The sequence below is a fragment of the Homo sapiens genome, chromosome 11 (genome assembly GCF_000001405.40).
Source record: "Homo sapiens chromosome 11, GRCh38.p14 Primary Assembly".
NCBI lineage: Eukaryota > Metazoa > Chordata > Mammalia > Primates > Hominidae > Homo > Homo sapiens.
The window spans coordinates 74969063-74996207 of NC_000011.10; the positions used below are offsets into that span (position 1 = coordinate 74969063).

Below are 27145 nucleotides of genomic sequence, written 5' to 3' on the forward strand. Positions count from 1 at the left end.
GTCAAAAACAATATAATAATAAGTCTATATGCATATAGGAAGTAATCGTAGTACTATTTGACATACTCTCTTATAGTAAACTATTTGGGTCACTTTTCTTCTCTTAATAACCCTTAAAATCAGTTGAACATGGTCAAGTCCACTGGGACTATTCGTTGTTTTTTATAAAGAAATAAGCACTATTATAACAAAGTCTTGACAAACTAGGTATCTTATTATACATGTTGTCTTTGAACATAAAGATGAGAGCTAGTTTATGCTCTGTATCTTTTTCTTTTCTTCCTTTCTGAGGTGTTTGCAGAATTAACCAGAGAGAGCCTTGCTTCTCTTGGTATATAAACATAAGGATGAAAATGAAATAGCTAAATTTTCAGTGTTTTGGCAGCAAGACAAAGCTGTCTTCTTTAGGACTATCATTATGAAAGTTTTTATATCTGTTGCTTGTCAATTTGTGTTACTTCTCTTTTATGTTTGGGTATTTTCCCCTTAACTTTATTTGAACCTATTTTGTGATGATGGGGATTCTGACCATTTATACCTCATATAAGGAGAAGAGCATCTTTCTCGTGGCCCACAGGAAAGATCCTACAGGAATGGATCCTGATGATATTTGGCAGCTGTCCTCCAGTCTTAAAAGGTATGACTATCCTCACAGATTTTTAAATCCTGGTGTTGGATTTGCCCTGGCATGTTGTCATTATCAACAGAAGACTTATTATGTGCCTACTCTATGTGGATCATAGGGCTAGTCATATAAAATGAAGAAAGGAGTATGGATGATCTAGAAGGTTTGTCCTAGCCCTATAGTTCTGAGATTGCGTTATCACAGAAATGCTCTGAGGATAAACTGTGGGAGAAGGTACTTTTTCCTGTGGCCAGTTAACAGAGACGATTAAGCATACAAAAGTATAAAGGCCAAAGATGTGAGATCAGTTATCTTTGAAGAATTCCATTAGCTTCTGTGTCTTCTATGATCCTGTCTTCTCTCCACGAATACAATCAAGAATATCTGGAGCAGTGCACTGGGCAACTCAAAAAAAGCACAATCTAGAGTCTGTTTCTGACCAGTGTCAGGTATAACTTTGTGCAGCTGACACACATGTGTTTTGTAGGTACCAAGAACTAGGTTCATGTTCCAATTCAGTTTCTTTCTAGCTGTATAACTTTGGGTAAATCATATAAATTATCTGAGGTTTAGTGGGGTCAAAAATGATGCCTAGAGTTTCTGGGAAGATGAAATACCAATTATAATAATAGCAAATGTTTATTGAACATTTACTGTATGTTGGGTATTCTGCTAAATGCATTATCTCATTAAGTTTTAGAACACTCATTTTATAGATAAGAATACAGGCCCAAAGTTTAAATCAACTCTTCCAGTATCATATAGCCCAAAAGTGGTAGAGCAGGAATTCCAGCCCAAGTTTGAAACCAGAATTCATACTCGTAGTCACTATCTTAAAAACCTATTATACTTAACTGGTGCATAATAGCCGCACAAATTATAGGTACAATTATTTATATATGAAGTTAAGTGTAGCATCTGTGCCATACAGACTGTCTCATTGCCAACTTGTAGAAGCGCCTATGAGAAAGGGAAGCAGACCTTCATTCTGTTGTTGCAGCTGAGTTCTTGCTTATCTCCTGACAGGGCTTCTAGCTGCCCTTTGGCCTCAGCCATCATAATCTGCATCCTCTACCAGGCCACTGAAGCTGAGTTGCAGAATTCTAAAACCTAGCGGCATTATAATTTCATTATTTTTATTCTGACTTTTGTATTTTTTAAGAACTTTTATATAATTCACCTACCATACATACAGTTCACCCATTTAAAGTGTACAGTTCAAAAGTACCTAGTAGTATTTACAGATATTTGCAACCATTATCACAGTCAATTTTAGAGCATTTTCATCACCTCAAAAAAAAAACCTCTGTACTCTAGCTAATCACTTCCCTATCCTCCCACTTGCCTGAGCCCTGGGCAACCACCAGTCTACTTTCTCTGTTCTCTTTTATGGACATTTCATATGAATGGAATCATACAATATGTGGTCTTTTATAACTGGGTTCTTTCACTTAGTGCAATTACTTCCTATGTATACTGCACACAAGGTTCGTTCATGTTGTAGCATGTATCAGTACTTCATTCCTTTCTATGGTCAAGTAACATTCCATTTTGTTTATCCATTTGTTGACAGACATTTGGGTTGTTTCTACTTTTTGGCTATTATGAATAATGTTGCTATACATATTTGTGTACATGTTTTTAGGTAGACATGTTTTCATTTCTCTTGGGTAATACACCTGGGAGAAGACTTGTATGGTATGCTAACTCTCTTTGTTTGATGAACTGCCAGACTGTTGTCCAAAGTGGCTGCCCTATTTTACAATCTCACTAGCAGTGTACAAGGGTTCTGATTTTTTTCACGTTTCCTGCTGATTTTTACCAACTGCCGTATTGTTGGTGGAGTGGAATGTGAATGTTCTTGCTCTCTTCCCGGCTTTCTGCTGATGTCTTCTCCCTCCCCCACCTCACCGACTGATTTAGTAGCTTAACAGTGGCTGATTCTGATGTCTTATTCCCACTGCCAGGTCATGTGATGTGAAAATGGCAATGAAAGGTTTCACAGACTACTAGTTGCCACGTGCAGACAACACAAGCTATGTGACTCTCTCGCAAAAAGTGATTTTGTCACTCCCCAGCAAATTCATTATACAGTCTAAACTCCTTCAGCATATGAAGTATTACAGCATTCATCCCCTAGTGACATCTCCAGCTTTCTTTTATGCCCCTCTCAAAATACATTCTCTTACTCTGGCAATATTATGGAATTTGCAATATGCTAAGTTATCCAAGTTTCCAGTGACCCCGTACCTTTAAACATATTCTTCTCTCTGGCTTAGCTATCTTTCTGTAACCTGGCTCACTCCTACTTCCAAGAAGCCTTCCCTGACATACCTTAGTCTTCCTTAACATGCCTTAGTCTAAATTAGGTGGTCCTAGTTATTCTTTTTTTTTTTGAGATGGAGTTTCACTCTTGTCACCCAGGCTGGAGCGCAATGACGCGATCTTGGCTCACTGCAACCTCCTCATCCGGCTTCAAGTGATTCTCCTGCCTCAGCCTCCTGAGTAGCTGGGATTACGGACCCACGACCACACCCGGCTAATTTTTGTATTTTTTGTAGAGATGGGGTTTCACCATGTTGGCCAGGCTGGACTTGAACTCGTGACCTCAAGTGATCGCCTAGCCTTGGCCTCCCAAAGTGGTGGGATTACAGGTGTGAGCCACCACGCCCAGCCCATCCTAGTTATTCTTAAAAGCATTTATGCTTACCTCTGTTAGTTACCACATGGAGCTATAATTATTTAATATCTGTGTCTCCTCCTGGGCCCGCCCCCTCCTCCAAAGTGTGAGCTCCTTTACCATTCACTATACAGTAGAAACCTAAGCCCAGGTGGGACTTTCTCACTCACCCCTTGGTAACCAGACCCAGCCCAGGGCCTGGCGTGGCATGTTTTGTTATGTGAATGATTGACATTCATCTGGGCTGGGCTGCAGCCTTGACCTCCTAATTAGTCTTTGCCTGCAGCCCAGTCATTGTCAGCCATCCACAAAGTCCCCTATAACCTAGCCATCTCTATGAACATTCCCTTCTCTTTTTTTTTTTTTTAAACAACAAATTGGATCCACTGAAACTTTTATTTAACTTTGTAATATGAACATTTACCATATAAGGTTATAAGACAATATAAAATCTATCTCATTTCATTTATAGCATAGCTATAAATCAATCTAATCTCTCTTATTAATGTTTTATATATATATATATATTTTTTTTTTTCCTGCATACTTAGGCAATATTTTCCCCAAGGGATATATCATTCTCAGTAAACTACCGCAAGAACAAAAAACCAAACATCGCATATTCTCACTCATAGGTGGGAATTGAACAATGAGATCACATGGACACAGGAAGGGGAACATCCCTTCTCTTTCTTACCCTAAGTGAAACCTGACCATAACCTCTGAGGACATATTTCCACTGCAGACTGCAAGTGGTGGCTGATGTTTCTCTCACAGCCTTCATTACTCCGGTACTACAGGTAGAGATGGGTCTCTCCTTTGCAGCTTCCAATGCGTCCTCTTCCCTAAAATCCCCCCTTTGAATGCATGTCATCACATTGTGCCACTTCTATGCCTCTTCTTTGCGGTTAAACACACACCTAGTCTTTTGAAGATAATTCCTGGCTCATTGGCACTCTCTCTAACATTTGTCCTTTCTTAAGTCTTGGTGATTGCCATATTCACATAGATGGTTATTCTAGTAACTTGGCCTCTCAGTTTTACTTCCTTTCTTCCCATTATCCTGTTTTCTATCATGCCTTAAACATTTATTTTCATAGACATACCCTAGTAGACCTTGCAATTAATAAGAACAAATTACCTGCAATAATTTCAGTTTTAAGTATCCCACCCTGACCATTGCTTCCTGTTACTCTCATTTATTTCCTTCTAGTTCTCTTGTCACGGCATTTCTTCTGCCCCAGTGGCATCTGTAACCCACTTCACTTCCTCCTTACCTGGCTTAGATTCCATGACACTTCTGTAGTCCAGTTACTCTCTCCCTGTCCTGGAGGATCTTTCATATCTTCCCTGTCCTCAAACCTGCTAGGCCTCCTCCCCCATCTTTACTCTCGGTTTTTTGTTGTTGGGAAGATAGAAGCCATCATAAGTCTACCATCACTACTCACCTACTTCCAAGTACCTATCTAAGGCCTTCCCTCCCTTGGGTCTATGGGATTCTATCTCTTCTCTCTTACTTGATGTTTTCCTCTCTGCTGGATCATTCCTTCTGACATACAAATATACTGTAATTTCTCCCAACTGAAAAAAAAAAAGGTTTTCTTTCCCCTTCTGCTTCTCACACAGTCTCCTCATTTCTCTGCTCTCCTTTTCTTCTTGTGCTATCACCTGGATCTGCTCTTGTCTCCTTTACTTGACCTGTCAGCAGCATTTGACATAGCTAATTACCCTTACTTTGTAATACTTTTTTTTTTTAACTAGGCTTCTCAGATACCACACACTTCTAATTTTCTTCTTACCTTAATGTTTGTTCCTCAGTCTCCTTTGTGATTCTTCATCTCCCATTTTTTTACATTTGAAATGCCACCAGGGCTTGTTCTGGAACCTCTTCTCTATGATGAAGATCTCTAAATTTGTATTTTCATCCTTGACCTCTTCTCTGAACTCTAAATATATTCTGGCATTCTTTTTGATGTTGGATCCTAATAGGCATCTCAAAGTCAACAGGTCCAAAACCTAACTCATCTCTCACTCATCCAAACCTGCCCTTCCCTCAGTTTTTCCCACTTCAATAAATGGCAGTGCTGTCCTTACAGAGCTCTGGAGTCATTTTGACTCCTCTTTCTCAGTCCTTCTTTAGTCTGTCAGCAAATCCTGTTAGCTCCACCATCTAAATGTATTGTCCAACCATTTACCATCTCCACAGCTACCATCCTCTCTCACATATGTTACTGTAATGATGTTCTTTTTTTGTTTTGTTTTTTTGAGACAGAGTCTCACACTTTCATCTAGGCTGGAGTGCAGTGGCGCGATCTCGGCTCGCTGCAAGCTCCGCCTCCTGGGTTCACACCATTCTCCTGCCTCAGCCTCCCAAATAGCTGGGACTACAGGCACCAGCCACCACGTCTGGCTAATTTTTTGTATTTTTAGTAGAGACGGGGTTTCACCATGTTAGCCAGGATGGTCTGGATCTCCTGACCTCGTGATCTGCCCGCCTTGGCCTCCCAAAGTGCTGGGATTATAGGTATGAGCCACGGCACCCGGCCCACTGTAATGATGTTGTAATGGACTTCTGCAGCCCTCTCTCCACCCATAGTCTATTCCCAGGACAGCAAGCAAAGTGATCCTTTTGAAACATAAGTCAGATCAACTCAGTCTTTTGCTCAAAACTCTCTCAGAGAAATTGCCAAAATCCTAAGGATGGCTTAGAAGTCCATACATGTCTATTCTCTGCACTCCACACACCGATGCAAACATACCCTCATCTCCTTGGCTCTCATCCTCTCCCACTTCATTCTGTTCACATTAGGCCCCTTTCTGTTCTTAAGACATTTCAGGGATGTTCTTGCCTCAGGGCCTTTGCACTTGCTGTTCCTTTTTCCTGGAACATTCTTTTTCCAGATAGCTTATTCTCTTACCTTTCTTGTCTCTGCTCAGACATCTGCTTAGTGAAGGCTTTTCTGCCCATCTATTTAAGAGAACATCTTCTTTTTTTATACTGTCTGTTCCCTCACACACACTAAAATGAAAGTCCCAAAAGGCAGACATTTATATTATGTTCACTGCCGTATATCCTTACCATCTAAAACTGCCTGTCACATATAGGTAGGCTCAGTAAATATCTGAATTAATGAACATTTCTAAAATGTATCAGGTCACAACTCATCAGATCATGGACTGCCACCAAAGCCATGTAACTGCCAATAAAACTGGGCACAGAAGTCTAAAAATTACTGTGATATCAATTAGCAGTTGGTCAGAACTTGAGAAAATATTTTGAGGTGTTGAAAATAGTTAAAGGAACTTCACTACTAGCTCTCCAAGTTGGGAGTTACTGCCTAGACCAACAATTATTGAGGAGCTGTGACCTTTTGAGCACTAGTTAATGATAGACACTGTTTTAGTCATGACAGTAATCCTGAAAGCAGGTGGAAGTTCTCCCATTTTAAACATGCAGAAATAGAGCCTCAAGAAACTGCTTCATTTAAAGATAATACTAGCTTGACAATCCACTGAATATGTCCTAATAAATGGAAACAGGGTGGGGGATGTCAGCCTACCAGTAATTGGTGTCATTAAACCCTCTTGAATGAATGGACATAGTAATGGCCTTCAGGGTACCTTGAAGTATAGCTAAAGGAATCTCTGGAGTTCATTTAGTAAAGCAGTTGGCATCCCTGGCCTGGGATCAGAGTAAAACCTGGAGCTAGATTGATTACAGAGTGCAAGGACTAGGCACCCCGGGATTGGAGAGCATCCTTGAAAGCAAGGGTTCTTCATTTATTTATAAAAATTTGATTGCCTACTAGAAGCCCAGCTAAGAGTATGAAGCAATTAAGACAACAATCTTTGCTCAAGAATCTCCTAGACAATCCTGATTCAAGCACCAGAAACAAAGGGAAAAGAAACCTCCCAGTCTAGTGAAGAAAGTAGTACACATCATGTCAACAGATAGGTAATTTTGTTGATACCATAAGAGCCTATTATTAGGCCTGGCATATGACAGGAGGTCAGTATTTGAGTTGAGTATTGATTGATGGTACTGTGGAAGACAGAGGAAACACATCTGACCCAGATTGGTAGGCTTTCCCAGAAAAGTTTATGCCCAAGTATAGTGTTAACAAATAAGAACTTCTCAGGTGAGATAGGGGAGAAGAGTCTGCGAGGAAAACCTGTCTAGCATGGCAAATACGAAGTCCAGAGATGAGAGAAGATGGTCCACGTGGTTTAAAAGTCTACAACAAGGTAAAGGAGGTACACAGTAATTAAAGTAGGAAAGATATGTCAACACCTAAGAATCAGAACTAGTATCTTGAAAAGTTAGGAGCCCTGGGGTTTTGTTTTTGCTTTTGCTTTTAAAGGATGTGTTTGTTCCCTGTATCACCGTGCCCAGCTTACTCCTTTTCTTCGGAAACACTTGGTGCCGTATTGTTACTGGTTGAATCTCTGTGTTTGGTTTTTAATTTGTTATCTTTGCCCCCATGCTTAGGTTTGATGACAAATACACCTTGAAGCTGACCTTCATCAGTGGGAGAACAAAGCAGCAGCGGGAAGCCGAGTTCACAAAGTCCATTGCTAAGTTTTTTGACCACAGTGGGACACTGGTCATGGATGCATATGAGCCTGAAATATCCAGGCTCCATGACAGTCTTGCCATAGAAAGAAAAATAAAGTAGCCAATTCTAAAAGTAGCCCTCTTTCTCCTGGATCTTGCTGAATTAGTGGCTTGGGGGGTGGGGGAGATAAAAAGAACTTAAAATGGGTAAAGTAAGAAATGTTAAAAAGTCCCTGTTTTGTCCTGAAATTTTAGTCTATTCTGGGTAAATAGGATTTTCTGACACAGATATGAGAAGTTGTAGCTCTGATGTCTAGCTGTAGTCTCCTTGATCTGCTGATTGCATTATTTTAATTTGCTTTTCTGGGAAAGCAGTTTTGCTAAAAGCTGTACAGACTTTTTCTTTTGTACCTAGCAGTACTTTATATAGTATAGCTTTGGGCCATGTAGCATTTTAAGACTCAATTTTAAAAAATTATTAATCTGTTGCTGACTCTTAATTCCTATTTCAATATGTGTTTCCTTGAAGAATTCAGGATACAACTTCTTGTGTATGACAGCTTTCCTTCACACACTATTTTTGTGGGTGTGTATATATCTGATTTGGGAAGAATTTAAAAAACACATAGCTTTTTAATTTGTTTGAAACAGACTTTCTGCCTGTTACATTTTTGCTTTTAACCAATTAAAGAAGCCAATGGCATTTTAGTTTTATATTGTGTTTTCCACTAGTATATCCCTGTTGATTTGTTTGTGCCTTTTATTAACTGCCATTTTCTAAAATTTTTTTCAATAAAAGGAAGGAAGATGTGAAAAAAATGGAGTCATAGTTTTGATGGAGAGAACAGAGAAACAAGTGTTAACATCTTTCTACTATAGGTTTTTTTCATTTTTAGGCTATTTTACTTGTCAAAGGCCCCTGAGAACCTGTAGCTAAGGAACTCTTAGCTTTCCAGTGATAATAACAATAATAACAACATTCTGTACTTACTTTGTGCCAGAAATGCTCCAAGTACTTTACATGTGTTAATAATGCTCACAGCAATCCTAAGAGGCAGGTGCTGTTATTATCCCCATTTTACACATGAGGAAACTGAGATACAAAAGTTAAATAATTGTCACACAGCTAGTGATAGAACTGGGATTCAAACCTGGGGAGTCCGGCTTCAGAGTTTGTGGTCCTGCAGAGACAAAACAGCCGCTTTTCCAGTATTTTCCCAGTATGGTCAGAGAAGACCTGGGTGCTTGCCAAGATCCTTTGACCTTTAGGAATATTTCCCTACAGCCTTACAAAACATCAATTTTGGCTGAGCCTAGTACCCAACACTATATTCAGTTTGTAAGAAATTACCATTATCACATTTCCTGTTTGTCTTGGAGAGGTTGTCCTATCTCGCACCACATGGTAGGGAATTGTGAACAACACTGGACAGAAAGTTAAAGCCTTGGATTCTGTACTCTTCATTCCTGTAAACCTTGGGTAAGTTTCGGAATTCTCTGTGAGCTTCTTAAAGTTTTTGAAAGCATGTAACCGGATAAGTGTATTTTTACAATGGAGGAGTTACAGTCATCTTGGTATTTGTGGGAGATTGGTTCCAGGATCCCCAAGCATACCAAAATCCAAGGATGCTCAAGTCCCTTATATAAAATGGTATAGCATTTGCATATAACCTACACACATCCTCCCATATACTTTTAATCACCTCTGGATTACCTATAATACCTAATATAATGTAAATGCTATGTAAATAGTTATACTGCATTGGTTTTTTAATTTATATTTTTTGTTATTTTTTAAAATATATTTTTAATCCATGGTTGGTTAAATCTGTAGATATAGAGGGCCAACTGTACTGTTAGACACAAGGGTCTCGAGGCTTGCAGATAGAGACTGAATAACCCTCTCCATGATGATCCCTTAGAGTTCCCCCACTGTGCCTTTTTCTTTACATGTGCATGCAAACATGTGTCTCCACATACATTTTTTTTAACAAAAATTGAATTATGTTGATATATGTCCTGTAATTTGTGTTTTAAACTTAATATATCTTAGGCATTTTCCCTGTGTGTGTGTATAATGCAGCTATTAAAAATGAGTCTGAGGCCAGGCATGGTGGCTCACGCCTTTAATCCTAGCACTTTGGGAGACCAAGACAGGTAAATCACCTGAGGTCAGGAGTTCGAGACCACCTTGGCCAACATGGTGAAACCACATCTCTACTAAAAATACAAAAAATTGGCTGGGCATGGTGGCAGATGCCTGTAATCCCAGCTACTTGGGAGGCTGAGGCAGGAGAATGGCTTGAACTGGGAGGCGGAGGTTGCAGTGAGCCGAGATCACACCCTGCACTCCAGCCTGGGCAACAAGAGCAAAACTCCGTCTCAAAAAAGAAAAAAAAAAGAGTCTGACATACATATATATAAAAGAAACTGTTCTAAAATACCAGAAGTGCAAAGGCAGGGGACCAATTGCAACAAGTAGCTGGGGTGATAACCCCTATATATATATACACATAGGTCAGTCTCATTTTTAATAGCTACATAATATTCCATAGTATAAGTGATTTTACTTTAATACCCTATTGATGATAATTTTTCCCCAGTTTTTTTCACTATTCCAGGAAGGAGTATGGATTGAGGAGAGGGGAAGAAAATAGGTCCTCAAATGAGAGACAAGAAACCTGGGTTGTTAGCAACTTTTTTCTAATTTGTGACCTTGAATACATCCTATTCCTTTTCTAGGGTGAAGTCTCTTGTTAAAAAAAAAAAGTTTTAGAGAATGTATTTTGAGATTATGAAGACTCCTTATTCCCTGGGAAATAAAAAACATCCCTTATGATTACAAAGAATGTTGGGTGCCATATCCCCAATATCTGCCTATAAGGCTCACTGGAGACTTCTTGGACTACATGGATCTATTTTAAGGTTTTTCCCTGACTCCAGAAACCAGTTGAAGCAGTTTAGATTTGTTGAAGAAGTGGGTTATCAGCCCAGCTACATGTTGCAGTTGGTCCCCTGTCTTTGCACTTGTGGCATTTTAGGAGTGTCTCATCACATGAACAAAAAGTACCCTCTGCAGGCTCAAGCCTCAGCATGGGCACACTTTGTAGAGCTGCAGAGTGCCTCTGGCCAGCTTCTGACACATGCATCTACTGAGTGGCCATTTCAGCCCAGTCCAGAAGGCTGCTGGGCTGCTCTGTACCCTCTAGTAGGTCTGCAACACCCTTGCCACCAGGAAACCCTGACACCCATCACATCATCATGAGTGAAGTTCTCAGTTCCTCACACTTACCTCAGACGGACTTTTTTCTAGAAAATAGAGGGCCACTGAGGACAGTGGAAAAAGATCCTAATGTTTTTTCATTATTTGCAAATTTCAACTGCTAATATGTATTTAATGTTTGTCATGCTTTTATATACGTGTAGAAACAATCTTTGCTTCAGAACAATTTCGGGGAATGGAAGAAGATGCAAAGTCCCTTTGCATACACACAAGTTGTGTTTTTCTCTGGACCCAAGTTCCTCCTCAGCTTGGAGCCCGATCTCTCACTAACTCTACCTTATCCACTCCTGGCTAGCCCCACCCACACCCCAAACCTTTTCTCCATGGTGGAAGTCATCAGAGAAAACTGTTAATAGCACGTTAATTTAGACTTTTAGAATATATCCTGTCCCCACTGACAGCCTTTTTTGTTATTAAATAGAGTATTCCTAACAACCCAACCCACCCTATGGTCCCCTTCTCAGAATAATGTTTTAAATACATACACATATCATTGTCTGTTAATAAGGAACTGGGGAGGTGGTTCCAGAGTTACTGGAACAGATTCAAAGACAGTTGCTGAAACTATGTCCTGGTTGTTGCTTACTCTCCTCTAGAAAGAAGTACTTCCTCACTAATCTGGCTTTCAGCCTCAGATCTGCCCCATTTTAACTGCTGCTACTAACATTCTTCCTCTATAGGCAGCAGGTTCTTCCTCCTTTCAGACAACAGTCACAGAGACACGTACTTACATGAGCTTGAAAGAAGGGAAATTCCTTATTCCTGTGGGCAGAAACCAGGTGAATTGTTAGAACTTTGGTTTATCGACTTGGGCATAGAGGGATTCAGGGTACATAATGCTTGTTAAGGAAGAATGGCAACTGTTGGGCTGTCTTACAGCCAACCCCCTCCTACAGTCTGTCATGCCAGGCTTAGACCCATGCAGACACAACAGGAAAAGTCTCAGATTTTTCTTGGCTGCCATAAAAGATCATTAGCCCTTTCAGAGGGATTTCTCTGTGACAAACTGTTCTGGGAAGCAATTGATGAGGATTGAGTAGTTGTCAGGCTCTTAGTGCCACAGAGTTGGTTAATACTGTCAAAGGTGACCCACTGGAGAAAGAGAAACTTGGGAGAGGCAATCTGCCATGAGCCCTGAATGTTCCTGCATGTATATTCTTGCCTCATGTGAATGTAAGACTGACCATTCTTCTTGGGCTGTACCTCAGTGTTCTGTTAGCAGTAAGCTACCTTGAAATGAGCAAATTTGCCTGTTGCTCACTGTAAAAGTTTTGAGCACCCCTCCCCTCACAAGCTGGGGGTCTGCATATGTAGTCATCCATCTAGGCCTACCCTGTGGCACTTGGGGGTGTAGGCCATGGGCAGCTGGTGCAAACATCATGCTCATGTTGCTGGCTATACCATAAGTAATAAAGTTATTTGTCTCTGACCCAGGAATCTCATGTCTTCTGGCAACATCCATGAAAGCATCGCAGGCTAACTTGTTAGCTTACAAGTAGGATAAAATTCACAGATGTGAAAATTTTAGTAATGAAAATTGGATCCTGACCAACATGGTTTTCTAGAAGAGAAAGGACAAAGGCCTTTCATGGGCTGGATTAGGGGATAAAAGAAATTTGCTGGGATCTGGTAGCAAGTCAGATATTCCCAAGTGAGGGAGGAGGAAAGAGTCCTGAGAAAAGTCCTACCTGAAGAAAGAGTCCTACCTGAGAATATTTTGAGGCTAAGGAGCAAGAGGTAGGATTGAAACATGCTGCCCAGATTGTACTTAGGTTGTTGCTCAGTCTCTAGGCAGGAGGCAGAAAAGATGTTTTGACAATGAGGCAGCAAGCTCATGGCTCCAGCTGAAAGGCAGTATGGCCATGGCTGATGAATGATTTCCCAAAGATGAAATAAATGATGGCAGTGATAAGGATATAGAACTTTGAACTAAAAACATTAGCTGTTTGTTGAGTCCAAGTAGGTAGCCACTTGAATTGAAAGTAAATACATGGCCTTGCTGACTGACACAAAGCCGTTCTCCTTATGGCCTACACCCCCAAAAGTGCCACAAGGTAGTCCTAGATGAATGCCTACACATGCAGACCCCAAGTTTGGTAGTGGGGGTGGAGTGCTTAAAACTTACAGTGAGCAATAGGTAAACCTGCTCATTTCAAGGTAGCTTACTGCCAACAGAACACTGAGGTACAGCCCAAGAAGAATGGTCACGGCCTTAAATTCATATGAAGGAAGAAAATACATGCAGGAACACTCAGCGTTCCTGGCAGATTGCCTCTCCCAACAGTGTCTCCAGTGGGTCACCTTCGACAGTTTTATCAACCTACTCTAGAACTTCTGATCCCTCTCTCTCTACAGCTTTAAGGAAAAAAAGCTCCCCATCTTTGGGGAAGGGAGGAATGCCCCTTTTACAGCTCCGTTCAATATAGGCATCCAAATCACTATCCTCCTTGGCCCCATGGGGACAGGGAAATCTGCACATAGAGGTGGTCAAAAATGCCAAATACCATGGGGCAGATCTACAATAGCATGCAGGAGAGCAGCGAAAAAAAAGGAGCCCTGAGCCCTGGGGGTGCTTGTCAGAGCCAACAGGTATTTGAAGGAAGAGGCAACACTGTTCTGGGGCAAGGAGTCAAAGTGGGATTACTTCCTAGTAACAACTGTCTCCTGCAGGCTAGCCTCTTCCACCTCCTCCTTCCACCACCTCTCACACTTCTGGCTGTGGAAATAACATCATTTCTTGGCTGTGATCTCCAACATACCTATCTTAAACTGCTTGGTTTGGGTGCCCATAGGGGAGAAAAAGTACCTGAATTCAACTGGTAGGGTCTGTTAGCTTACAAGTAGGATAAAATTCACAGATGTGAAAGTTGTGGTAATGAAAATTGGATCCTGACCAACATGGTTTTCTAGAAGAGAAAGGACAAAGGCCTTTCACGGGCTGGTTTAGGGGATAATTGCATGGGAAAGGAAAATTAAAATGACCTGTGGATGGAGCCTCTAAACATTTAATGTACTGCTGTTTTATGGCTTTAGCATCAAAGTGTGTTGTTAATACCAATATACATTTAATTGAACTAGGAAAGTTTATAAGTCTCCCATTCAGGGACTACTGCAGTATAGAGAGATGTAGTCTAAAAGAAACAACATACAACCGCAAGAGGAAAAGAAATAAAAGCACAGGTTTAGTTGAAAACTTAGTTACTCCTGTAGTACTCAGGCCATTTTCCATTATAACCAGCTATGTGGACTTTGCAGTCACCAAGGTGAAATATCCTGAGTACTCCAAGAGTGACCTTTAAAAAGATAGGCACCTCTTAGGCTGCTACTGAGCTCTTGAGGAAACAACAGCGGCCAGAGGAGCTTCCTGAAAGCGTAACTGATTCATTTATGCATACTGCAGGCAGTTATCACTATCCTGAGAGTCATCCTATTGGAAATGTTGATAAGGAATTTGTTCTTGACTTTAGCTGCAGTCATCAGTGACACCACCTCAGCTCTGGATGGCACTTAAGTCAGCCTCAATTCATTGGCCAGGGTGGTTATGGGTGATAGAATTGCTCTTCCTCTTTGTGGGCCAAATTGGAGTCAGTGCAATCACTAATACATCCCACTGTGACTGGATTAATGTCTCAGACCGAGTACAGGGTCAATACAGAAACTTGAGAATGCCACTTGGCTTTCTAAGGTAGATCCTGATGGTTTATGATTGTTGGTTTTTTTTTCCTACCTTGTTGGATACAGGCCCTTGGATATGGCTGAAGTCAGTACTGATTGGTCTTATCCTGTTACATAGAGTTCTGTTGATAGTACCTTTAATTAAATGTAATAAAATACTTTGAATGGACCTGGTTCCAGTTTCTGTCAGTTTAATTAGAGTGACAGGTGGAGTGGCATACTTATGGGAGAATTCATCAAAAGCCAAGATGGCATAGAAATGAAAGGTGCATATCGTTGGGAGACAATTCTTCATGGGTCTCTAGCATTTCTGCATATTTTGCAAAGAGAGGCACTGACTATCTTTGTTCCAGACTATTTGTCCAGGAATGTTTGTATAGTAAACAACCTTAGAAGGTATCAGAGCAAAGGGCGCACATGCTCACTGCCCATTATTGAAGATTCAGGTTCCCTAACCTCAAAGTTCCTCTCCTTTAAGGCACTTCATTACATGTGCAGGTATCATCTGGCTCTCTGCGTCATCATATGGGAATTGGGGCTCAGAACTGGAACAAATGCTGGTACTCTGGCTACTGCTATTGCTGTAAGTAACAAACTATCCTTTTTACAGGTAGTAACAGGCTATCTTGTTAGCTTGCAGGTAAGATAAAAATCTCAGACCCTTCACAATTCTTGACAGCCCCACTCCTACTTCTGCCTGTCCCATATCTTGGAAGCTCCCTAACTTCTGTAACAGGAAGTTCCCCCGATATTCCTGTGCCATCTTACTTGATCGCATTACTTAATACCCTTCTGCATCCCTCTTCCTTCAAACTTTTATATAATTCTGCTCTGCTAATACGGGTGCCAGGCCTGATCCCCTCGCTTTAGTTGCTCACAGTCTGCTGAGAGTGTCAGACACTTAGACAATCTGAACACAGTAGAAGGAGGTGCAAAGTGCTATGGGGGCTTGAAAAGGAGTATTTGTTCTAGTATGGAGGTCTGGGAGGTCCTCATACAGGAAGTGAAAACTGAACCATGAGTGAGGAGTTGGGCCATTTTACAGATGAGGAACCTGAGGCACAGAAGTTAAATAAGTTGCCGAGATCACTCAGCTAGGAAGTGGGAAGAGAGGATTGGAGCCAGGATTCTCTACCTCTAAATATAGAAATTGCTCTTTAACTTCACTTTCTCAGGCATAAGATGAGACCATCTGAGTTTACCTCAAAGAATTGAGAAAGATTTGGTATTAGCTTTGGGTCTATAAAATTTGAGATCCACAGAGTTGGTGATTGTGAACTTGGAGAAGTCTGATAAAGAACCCCAGGACATGACCCGGTTTTTATAAAGGAAATATTTCAGACAAATAAGGCTTAAAGAATAATAAGATGAATATTTGTGAACCTACTGCCATTAAAAATATATATATTACCAATACAGTTGAAGTCCTCAGGGTATCCTTAATCATATCTTACTTCCTGCACTTTCAGAAGTTACTACTACCTGGAATGTGGTGTTTATTATTCGTAAGCATTTTCTTCATACATATGTGTCCATTATATATATGGATATATACAGATATATAGAGACATATATGGTTATTTTTTAATTTTATTTTTACCTCCTTGGGAGCTCTTATACAATATATATGGTTATTGTTTTACCTGTTTTTAAACTTTATATGTGGTTTTTGATTGAGAGTCTCCCAAACAACCCCTGTGTTCAGGTATTTGCTAGAAGGACCCACGCGACTCAGCATATATGACTAAGATTTATTCTTCGATAAAATAAGGACACATCTGGATCATAAGGGAAAAGGACACTGGCAGAGTCTGGAGGAATCCATTTGCAGGCTTCCTTATGCTCTTCCTCCCATGAGGGATTGCAAAGAGCCCACTTTGCCCCAACAACAAAAATGCAGCAACACGTGTGTAATGTTTCTGTCCAGGGAGCCCATTAGAGAGTACCCACAGTTTATTGAGGTTTGGTCATGTGGGCACCATCTGCCTAGCACATAATAAAGACTCCTAGAAAGCAAGCAGGTATCCACCATAAATCATACTGCAATCAAACAGTCTACATAGTCAACTACCCTTTTCAGTTAACTGGTGACTGGGAACACTTTGAGAGCCAAGTTTCCAGACACCTGTCAAAAAACACCAACCTTGCAAGCAGGCCTTCCTAAGGATAACCTGTTAGGCCTGCTATGGTAAATCTGCACAAGTACCATTCTCTCTGTATTGTGCAACTTGCTTTTTTGTTCAATATTTTGTTTGTGAAGATAATTTAGATTGATACCTGTAGCTACAATTTATTCTATTTCACTGCTGTATACTGTTAAACATGACAGTTTATTTACCCTATTAATGGACATTTAGGTCTTTTATAATTTTTCACTATTAAACATTTGCTGCTATGAGCATTCTTGTATGGACACATCTAATACAGGTAGTGGGATTCCTTGGTGGGAGAGGATATACATTTTTACTTTTCTAGGTATTGCTAAATTTTCCTCTAAAGCGACTGTACCAATTTACATTCCTTCTATTAATGAAGGAAATACAAGATTGGAATAATTGGGATAGTTGTGTTATCTTTGTGAATAGATTTTAAAATACTGATTTAGATTTTTAAATAGTTGTAAGACTTCACATTTTCCATATCTTAGTTTGGTAACTTTTTCTAAAACTGTATTAACTTTATCTAGATTTTCAAACTTAAGGAATAAAGTTTGTTTAATATTTATTTCTCATCTCTGTTGTATCCCTGCATATAGTCTCCTTTTCATTAATATCATTTATAACTTTTAAAAATGAGTCTTGCCAGAGGGTTTGTCCGGTTTATTAGATATGTCAAGACTAATATTTGCTTTTGTCAGTCCCCTCTATTGTACTTTGCTTCTTGTTTCATTTATTCTGTTCTTATTTTCATCATTTCCTTTTCTACCTTTTTGGGATTTATTCTGTTCTTCCTTTTCTACATTCTTAAGTTAGATCCTTAACTCATTACTGTTTTGTTGTTCTTATCTCCTGGTATAGGGTCTTTATTTGAGTTCTCCCAGAGGCAAGTTCTGAGACCAGGACCTGAGGGCAATAGTATATGTGAGAGATGCAGGGAGTGCCATAATGAGGTGGGAAAGTAGGAAGGGAAGAAAAGGTGAGCAATAAGGGTGTAGCTTTTAGTAGCTATTGATAATTGCTGTCTAGATTCATTAAATTCATTTTGTCATTAAAGGACAAAATGATGAAATTCTATCATTCATTTGGCATTGGTCAGTTAATTATTTTATGAAGGAGAACTTTTCCCCATCAACTATTTAGTTACCCAGAAATAGGGTTTGTACAGGAAAGGCAGAATAAAAAGCTGCTTTCCTTAGCAAACTCTGAGGTGACCAAAGTGACATTTTTCTCCATATGTCGATATGAACTTTCTTTGCAGTCCTTGTTCTTTTTGATGTTCTAATTTTTCCATATTTGGCCAGTGGAATCACCTTCAAATTGATTCTTACCTTCTTTTGACATGACCTGAAATAGTCTTTTATGGCTTTCTTGCTTTCTGTTAAGATGTTCTAGGCTAATCTTATAAATTTTCTTCCCTGCACCTAAAATCAGCCATTTTTTTCATGGAACCCTGGTTCCTTTGGGGACAAAATAGTATTTTAAGACCCATTATTGCCAGGCGCGGTGGCTCACGCCTGTAATCCCAGCACTTTGGTAGGCCGAGGCGGGCGGATCACGAGGTCAGGAGATCGAGATCATCCTGGCTAACATGGTGAAACCCCGTCTCTATAAAAAATACAAAAAATTAGCCGGGCGTGGTGGTGGGCGCCTGTAGTCCCAGCTACTCGGGAGGCTGAGGCAGGAGAATGGCGTGAACCCGGGAGGCGGAGCTTGCAGTGAGCCAAGATGACGCCACTGCACTCCAGCCTGGGCGGCAGAGACACACTCCATCTCAAAAAATAAAAATAAAAATAAAAAAGACCCATTATTTGGGCTTATTACGATGAGTTGGTCTCTGGTTCTAGGCCTTTTTTTTTTTCTTTTTTTTTTTTTTTTTTTTAGAAAAATACAGCAGGTTGTATTGAGGTTGGCACCTATGTTCTTTCAAAGAACCCTCATCATTTTGTGAGTTCTTTCCTTGTGGCACCACGATGTTCCAGGCTCATCTTGTATGTTCCCTGCCTCAGCACAGGATTTTTTTTAATGAGAAAAATATCACGAATTCAAATTTACAGAAGCTTTACATTTTTATGTCCTCTAAGTTAGCAGTCTGTCTTTCCTTTTATTGGCGTTTGTAAAATTTCTTCTTTTTAAAATTGTTATATTTTAGAGACAGGGTCTCGCTCTGTCACCCAGGCTGGAGTGCAGTGGTGCAATCACAGCTCACCACAGCCTCCAACTCCTGGGCTCAAGGCATCCTCCCACGTAGGCCTTCCAAAGCGCTGAGATTGTAGGCATAAGCCACCAGGCCCAGCCTATTACCTTTACGTTGTACTTAGTCCCAGATAAAAAATGACCTTAGATCAGTCCTTTCCTCTTTGGCTGGGGAGAGGGGGGCTTAAATTCCGGTACTGTGAAACAGAAGAATGGACTCAGTGCTATGTGACAAATCTATGTATGTAAATGTGTGTATATACACACACATAAATTATATATATGAATATATTTTCATTTTCATATTTTGCAAGGAGAGTAGCCAATGCTCTGGACCTCTGGTCCTTTTTGTAGGGTACCCTCTGAGGCCGGGAACCTTTGCTCAACTCTCAGGCTGTCCAGGGAAGCTTTAGGCGGTGATACCGAGCTACAGACCAATATAAGAGCTCGGGGCTGTGGCACTGAAGAGAGGAGGCGGCCGTTGGGAACTGAGGTGGGCCCAGGGCTTGAGCTGAGTTGGCGAGGGTGGAGGTGGTGCCGGTCCCACGCCGTGGTGGGGACCGAGCTGCGGGCTGGAGGGAGGGGCAGCGCCGAGGGGGCGGGACGGGGAGGGCTCGCGGAGTAGGCCAACGGTTGGCCCCAACCGCCACTGACTACAGCCTGCGCCCGCCTCTTTTCGTTGCCGTTACCTGTTTCCGGCAGTCGACACGCTCTTCGCTTCTCGGGGCTTGTCTCCGTGTCCTCCGTCTCAGTTGTTTCTCCCTCTCTATCCTCCTCTGTCTCAGTCTCCCCAGCCTTGGGGCCGGTGCCTCTTCCGGGCTTCGGCGAATGAGACCTGCGGACCTGCCCCCGCGCCCCATGGAAGAATCCCCGGCGTCCAGCTCTGCCCCGACAGAGACGGAGGAGCCGGGGTCCAGTGCAGGTGAGCGGGGTTGGGAGACAGGAGAGCTCCCCGAGGAGGACTCAACTGTGGGGACAGGTTGAGCAAGACCATCTGCGTTTGGGAAATCCAGCCTTGGATTATTGAGACAGAGCCACCTAGTCGGCTAGGATCTGACCTGGCCAGAGAATTCTTGGCTAGTCCTATTTTTATTCGTTCTCACAGAAGCCGAACTTAAACCTCAGAATTATCACTCCAGAGATGAAAGGGAACTGAGACTGGAAAAGCCCTGCTTACCAAAGGTCTCTGGGCGGCAGAAAGAGCCCTGAGCTTCAGTTTCAACTTAGGAGACCTGGGTCTTGGTCCAGATTTTACTGTGGAGTGGCGTTCAGTAAGCTTTGTCCCCATCCCGGGCCCGAGTTTTCCCATCTATACCATGAGAGGGTTTAGACTACAGATCTTCAAAGGTCTGGCACGTGGTAGGTGCTCCTTAAATATTACTTGTTAGGAGTGAATAAATGAGATAGGAAGGCCTCCTGGGATTCACTGGAGGCTCATTGGGTTAGTTGGAGGCTGTGGAATTACATTATTATAGTCTGAGAAGTAGGCGGTATTATCTCCATTTTATAAGTGAGGAAACTGAAGCTCAGAAGTAAAGTGACTTGCTAGTAAGTGTCAAAGATAAGTCAGACTTCAGAGTCCATGCTAGGCTATACTCTCTCCCAGTAAGAAAGCGGGAAGGACTTGATGGGAAAGTGATTATATCGAGCAGCAAGTAATCATTTGAATTCTCTGCTTAAATGAACCCCAGAGCAGGCCCATATCTGATTATTTTCTATCCCGTTTCCAGCACCTGATTTGTGTGAAACGTTTTGGGTGGCAATGCCAGAATCACCATCTATATTACTTCTGTCATCAACACGATCAGCATAATTACAAAAATTAATGGCTCTAATTGTTATAGTGATAATAAAGCATAAATGAAATTGTGAGGACATCAAAATTTATAATTAAAGACACCTATTAAAACAGCAGTTTAAAATTTATAAAACACTTTTGAGTGGTTCTTCATATTGATCTGCTTAGGTAGGTATTATTATCCATAGTTTACAAGCAAGGAATCCAAGACCTAGAGGTTGAGTAACCATCAAAACGTCATGCAGCAAGAAATGGAGCTGAGACTTGAATCCAGCCCATGTGACAAGTTGTGCTTCTCCTTTGGTGATTATTTCCCTATTTCCTCTCCATTTCCTTTTTTTTTTGAGATGGAGTCTTGCTGTGTCACCCAAGCTGGAGTGCAGTGGTGCAGTCTCGGCTCACTGCAACCTCCGTCTCCTGGTTTCAAGTGATTCTCCTGCCTCAGCCTCCCGAATAGCTGGGATTACAGGTGGATGCCACCATGCCTGGCCAATTTTTTTTGTATTTTTAGTAGAGATGGGGTGTCACCATGTTGGCCAGGGTGGTCTCGAACTCCTGACCTCAAGTGATCTGCCCACCTCAGCCTCCCAGAGTGGTGGGAATATAGGCATGAGCCACCGCACCCAGCCTCTTCCTTTCCTGTTCTGAGCCCTAACCCGCTCCATGCCTATCCTGTGCTCCATTCTTCTTATCACCTGGAGAATTCCTGTTTAGATTTAACTAATAGTCACATGTTGACTGATGATAGTAGTGTTGGTTTAACTTGTAATTAAGGTGTTAAGAGTTTAAAGTATGTTCTCTTTCAGCAATAAAGGGGGATTTAAATGTTTTTAAGAAAGGGAGTTGTAATTGTTATTATTGTCATTGTTATCCACAGGATTCAAGGAATAAAACTAGAATATACAGTAATTGGTAGTTTAAAAATAATAACTGTCATATATTGCACTCATACTATGTCATAGGCCTTGTAATAGCCACTGTAGTTAAGCATTTTATTTCTATCACCTACTCTGCTGAATTGTATAGGGGAGGATCCTGAAGCATAGAGAAGTTGAATAACATGCCCAAGGTCACATAGTCCTGGCCTGGTCCAAATCCTATGTTCTTAACCATTACACCAGCCTGGCTCAGAGACAGATTGTTTGCTTAGAACAAAGCCTGACCCTCCCGGGGAGGAGAGCCTGAATTGAGGGGAGAGAAGTATGCTCTAGTATTGAGTGAGAAGATGGTCTCCCCTTGCTTATCTTTTGATTCTGCTGTTGAGAGCCTGGGATTGAAATGAAGGGAGGCTTTTCTTCTGGACTCAGCAAGGCCACTCTCCCAGTTCCCCTCATGATACTGAGCAATAGTTCTTTTCCCTTCTTCAAGTTAGGAACAAGTGACTAAATATTCATATGCTATTGATAAAAGTTTGTCTTGGTTGACACTAGGAGGCTGTAGCCAAAAGCAGTGCAACTTTGCCGTATGGTTCACTGTCCTGAAAGCTTCCTGGAAGATTGGTCTAAAATCATCATGCCATTCCTCTGTCAAAAATTCTTGAGTGGTCTCCCATCTGTGGAATAAACACCTTAATAAGTTATCTAAGCCTCCCAGGATCTGGACTGTGCTGACCCCTTCAGTCCCACCTCTGCCCCCATCCCTTGCACTCCACCTTACTGTAGTCACACTAAACTACTGAGAGGCCCCAAAACTCACTGTTTTCTGTTGCCTATAGGCTTTTCACATCCTTGTCCTCTGCGCTTCTCCTTTTAACCCTCAGTTGGCTAATCCACTGTTCATTCTTTAAGATCTGGCTCACTGATTCATTCAATCATTCAACAAAAATTTGTTGAGTGCCTATTACTTAATAGGCATAGTTCTAGGTGTCAAGGCGGAGCAATAAGAAAACAGACATACCCTTGCTGTTTCTGGAGCTTCCATTTTGTGGTATGTATTAAACAAATGTAACATAGGAGGCATCAAAGTGTGATAAGTGGTGTGGAGAATAGAACAAGGAAAGAAGATAGGCTGGGGCAAAGGAGTTGACAGAGAAACCTTCCTGATTGGATGATGTTTGAGCAGAGCTGAAGAAGGTGAGGGAGCGTTATGTGGCTATCTGAAACGAGTGTTCCAGGCAGAGCCTGTGACTATATGAGGCAGGAGTTCTTTTGGCTCAATCATTCTCTCCAAAAATCCTTCTCTGGTGCCTTGATCTGGATAGATGCCACTTTTGTGTTTTTCTACTTGCTGTTGTGTTTACCTCTAAAGTAGCACTTATTACATCATGTTATAATTGTCCATGTATATGTCTGTTTCCCTCACTTGGATTGGGTTTCTTGAGAGCAGGAACCTCTGATCCTTCTCTGTCTTCTCAGCATCTATTTTAGGGCCTGACACAGAGGAGGAACCTAGAAATATTTATTGAATCAATTGTTCTTACAGCCTGATAATATTTACAAATGATTTGTAAAATTGGGTTTGGATGACAGTTGGTTTGAGGAAAAAGTAATTCTAAGGCTGCTTTTTGTCTGTCTGGCTTGATTCCCCTTTTGGACCTCTGAGAAGTGGAACACCTGGTTTTCTTTAAGAAGAATACTTGGAGACTCCATTGTGAGCATTATGGCAGGGTAGCCAACCTGTAAAATGGTGGGTAAAATATAACAAAGCCGGCCGGGCACGGTGGCTCATGCCTGTAATACCAGCACTTTGGGAGGCCAAGGTGGGTGGATCACCTGAGGTCAGGAGTTGGAGACCAGCCTGGCCAACATGGTGAAACCCGTCTCTGCTAAAAATACAAAAAATTAGCTGGGCGTGCTGGCGGGCGCTTGCAATCCCAGCTACTTGGGAGGCTGAAGCAGGGGAGTTGCTTGAACCCAGGAGGTGGAGGTTGCAGTGAGCCGAGCTCACACCATTGCACTCAAGCCTGGGCAACAAGAGCAAAACTCCGTCTCAAAAGAAAAAAAATAACAAAGCCCTTTATAGCTGAATTTGCAAGAAAGTAAGAGAAATCTCCAGGGACCTAGAAACCAAGAGTGAACTGAAAACCAGAGTGGTTAGCTCCTTAATCTGCCCTCAGCTGCACTGGATGTCTCACCTAGAAACTTGGACTTTAATAGGCCTGTTGTTATACCAAATGAAGCTATAGGTCCGCATGGGTTAGACTCTAGTGGGTTTTTTGTTGTCGTTGTTGGTGTTTTTTTGTTTTTGTTTTTGAGATGGAGTCTTGCTCCGTCTCCCAGGCTGGAGTGCAGTGGGGCAATCTCAGCTCACTGCAAGCTCTGCCTCCTGGGTTCACACCATTCTCCTGCCTCAGCCTCCTGAGTAGCTGGGACCACAGGTGCCTGCCAGCACACCCGGCTAATTTTTTTGTATTTTTAGTAGAGATGGGGTTTCACCATGTTAGCCAGGATGGTCTCGATCTCCTGACCTCGTGATCCGCCCACCTTGGCCTCCCAAAGTGCTGGGATTACAGGTGTGAGCCACCACGCCCGGCCTGGTTAGACTCTAGTTTTTGACAGAGGATGGCATGTGAAATACTCACATGAAGCTAGGTCCCTTGAAAATCTGCACCCTGTGTAGGGTGTATACCTTCTGATAGGGTGGACTAGTATCTTAATTCACTTTCTGTTGCTTATAACAGAATACGTGAAACTGGGTAACTTATAAAGAAAAGAAATTTCTTGCAGTTATGGAGTCCGAGAAATCCAAGGTCCAGAGGCCACATCTGGTGAGGGCTTTCTTGCTGGTGGGGACTCTGCAGAGTCTGGAGGTGGCATAGGGCATCACATGGCAAGGGGGCTGATTATGCTAGCTCAGATCTCTAGTTTTCCTCTTATAAAGCCCCTAATGCACTCCCATGATAACCCATTCATCCATTCATCCATTCATGAGGACAGAGCCCTTATAACCCTATCATCTCTTAGAGGCCCCACCTCTCAACACTGCCATATCAGGGATTAAGTTTCAACATGAGTTTTAGAGGGGACAAATATCAAACCAGATCTACTAGGAAAAAAAAAAATTCTCCCTACTGACACAGATAGAAGACAAAGAGATTGCCTTTTATCCTAGGCTTTCGTACAGAAAAAAAGTTTTCCCAGAAAATTCTTAACCATAGGCATTCACTCATACAGATACCCAAATGGCCTAGAAACTCCAAGCCAAGAAGTTGATAATAAAAACCACCTCAGGCTGGTAATACCCCTGGATGCTTGGCAAAAACAAATGCAAAACCGCTCTGCTCCAAGATACATACTTGATACAGGCCACATAGAATTCCCACAGGGTCTGGAGTTAATGAAATTCTCATTTGTTAAACAAGAATGTATATTGCTTGCTTTGTGCTATTGAGAGCATATGTTATTCTTGTATAAAGAAACATTTGAATATATCTGTGCCCCCCCACCTTTGCTCTCCAGAAGTGAAATGATGAAGCAGAATTTATATGCAGGCCAGCATCTGGGTATGGACACACATTAAGCTTCCTTCTATCCTTGCAGAGGTCATGGAAGAAGTGACAACATGCTCCTTCAACAGCCCTCTGTTCCGGCAGGAAGATGACAGAGGGATTACCTACCGGATCCCAGCCCTGCTCTACATACCCCCCACCCACACCTTCCTGGCCTTTGCAGAGAAGCGTTCTACGAGGAGAGATGAGGATGCTCTCCACCTGGTGCTGAGGCGAGGGTTGAGGATTGGGCAGTTGGTACAGGTGACTCTTCATCCCAGATCTGAGTCTGGGCCTCAGTTTCTCTTCACAAAGCTCAGAGCTCTTCAGGATCTGTGCCTTTTCTCATCAGTACAGGAAAGCCCTGTGTGGGGAGCAGAGGCAGAAAAAACAGCAAAAACAATGGCTCTCACTGAGTGCTTATTGTGTGCCAGGGGCACATTGGGTCCTCACAGCCATTCTGTGTCGTAGGTACTGTTTTCAGTCATATTTTACAGACAAGGAAACTGAGACTCAGAGAGGTTGCCATTTGCTCAAGGTTATACAGCTATAATAAAGCAGTAGAAGCTGGTTTCAAACTCAGTCGCTGACTCCAGAGACCTCCACAGTTATTTAGATTCAGCTAACGTATGATGTGCCTTTCATTTATATTCCATTTAATCCTCATAAATCACCCAGGGAAGTAAGCATTGGTAGTCCAGTTTTGCTGATGAGAGATCCTAGTGCTCCAAGAGGTAAGTAACTTGCTCAGGACCACATTTAGCAGGTGACAGGGGGATACCAGTAATAACCACGCTTCTACTACTAAATGCTGTATGTGAGGTATATTTTATTATCCCCATTTTGCAGGAGGCAACCAGGCCTGAGAATTAAGGTCATTTGCTTTGGTCACGCGTCTAATAAGTGGGAGAACTGGAGTTAGAGCCCTTCCTCTTCAGTAGAACATTTTGACTGTATTTTTAGTGAGGAAAGAAGGGTTACTGCTCTTTGGCCTGGAAGCTACAGGGTTATTTCAGATCCCAAATAGGCATACGTCGGAGATATTGTGGATTTGGTTCCAGACCACCACACTAAAGTGACTATCACAATAAAACAAGACACATAAATTTTTTGGTTTCCCAGTGCATATAAAAGTTATGTTTACACTATACTGTAGTCTGTTAAGTGTGTAGTAGCATTATGTCTAACAAAAAGTACACACCTTAAAATACTGCTGAAAAGTGCTAATGATTATTTGAACCTTTGGCTAGTCAATCTTTTTGCTGGAGTGGGTCTTGCCCTGATGTTGGTGACTGCTGACTTATCAGGGTGGTGGTTGCTGAAGATTTAGTGTATTATTATTATTATTATTATTATTATTATTTTTCTAGAAGCATTTCTTACTTACATAGATAATTTCTTAAAATAAGACAATGGGCTGGGCACAGTGGCTCATGCCTGTAATCCCAGAACTTTGCGAGGCCAAAGTGGGAGGATTGCTTGAGCTCAGGAGTTCAAGACTGGCCTGGGCAACATAGCAAGACCTTATCTCTAATAAAAATAAAAAACATTGGGTGGGTTTAGTGGCACACATCTGTAGTGGCAGCTACTCGGGAGGCTGAGGGGGAGGATTGCTTGAGCCCAGAAGTTCAAGGCTCCAGTGAGCTGCGATTGTGCCACTGCCCTCCCGCCTGGGGGACAGAGCAATACCCTGTCTACCCCCAACAAGAAATAAGACAACAATGAAGTTTGCTGAAACAGTTGACACTTCC

At 41.8% G+C, this 27145-nt stretch overlaps 2 protein-coding genes across 15 annotated transcripts in view, besides 3 other annotated features; both read left to right on the top strand.

The window, feature by feature from the left end:
* The window catches only part of SPCS2 (signal peptidase complex subunit 2), a 29768-nt gene extending 19797 nt beyond the window's left edge, over positions 1 to 9971 (top strand). Inside the window, exons 4-5 of the mRNA NM_014752.3 lie at positions 503 to 637; positions 7795 to 9971. Coding sequence (NP_055567.2) covers positions 503 to 637; positions 7795 to 7981 — 322 coding nt within the window. The 3' untranslated portion in view covers positions 7982 to 9971. The remainder of the gene's footprint in view (positions 1 to 502; positions 638 to 7794) is intronic.
* A 1481-nt stretch (positions 9972 to 11452) lies between these two features.
* The window catches only part of NEU3 (neuraminidase 3), a 40162-nt gene continuing 24469 nt past the window's right edge, over positions 11453 to 27145 (top strand). For 3 of the 14 annotated variants that reach the window (XM_047426303.1, NM_001367860.1, NM_001367865.1), the window contains exons 1-3: positions 19582 to 19663; positions 19956 to 20092; positions 25447 to 25658. In XM_047426303.1, the coding sequence (XP_047282259.1) occupies positions 19999 to 20092; positions 25447 to 25658 (306 nt within the window). In that variant the 5' untranslated portion in view covers positions 19582 to 19663; positions 19956 to 19998. Of the gene's footprint in view, positions 15402 to 19581; positions 19664 to 19870; positions 20093 to 20900; positions 21097 to 25446; positions 25977 to 27145 lie in introns of those variants that run through there. The other 11 variants (XM_047426302.1, NM_001367866.1, NM_006656.6 and 8 more) reach the window with 9 other exon arrangements.
* Positions 19621 to 19670: an enhancer, noted in NCBI's record as "active region_5259". NCBI's record gives its function as "activates an Ori minimal core promoter by ATAC-STARR-seq in GM12878 lymphoblastoid cells {active_cell/tissue: GM12878}" and the evidence as "EXISTENCE:reporter gene assay evidence [ECO:0000049][PMID:35858748]".
* Positions 19951 to 20140: an enhancer, noted in NCBI's record as "active region_5260". NCBI's record gives its function as "activates an Ori minimal core promoter by ATAC-STARR-seq in GM12878 lymphoblastoid cells {active_cell/tissue: GM12878}" and the evidence as "EXISTENCE:reporter gene assay evidence [ECO:0000049][PMID:35858748]".
* Positions 23820 to 23939: an enhancer, noted in NCBI's record as "active region_5261". NCBI's record gives its function as "activates an Ori minimal core promoter by ATAC-STARR-seq in GM12878 lymphoblastoid cells {active_cell/tissue: GM12878}" and the evidence as "EXISTENCE:reporter gene assay evidence [ECO:0000049][PMID:35858748]".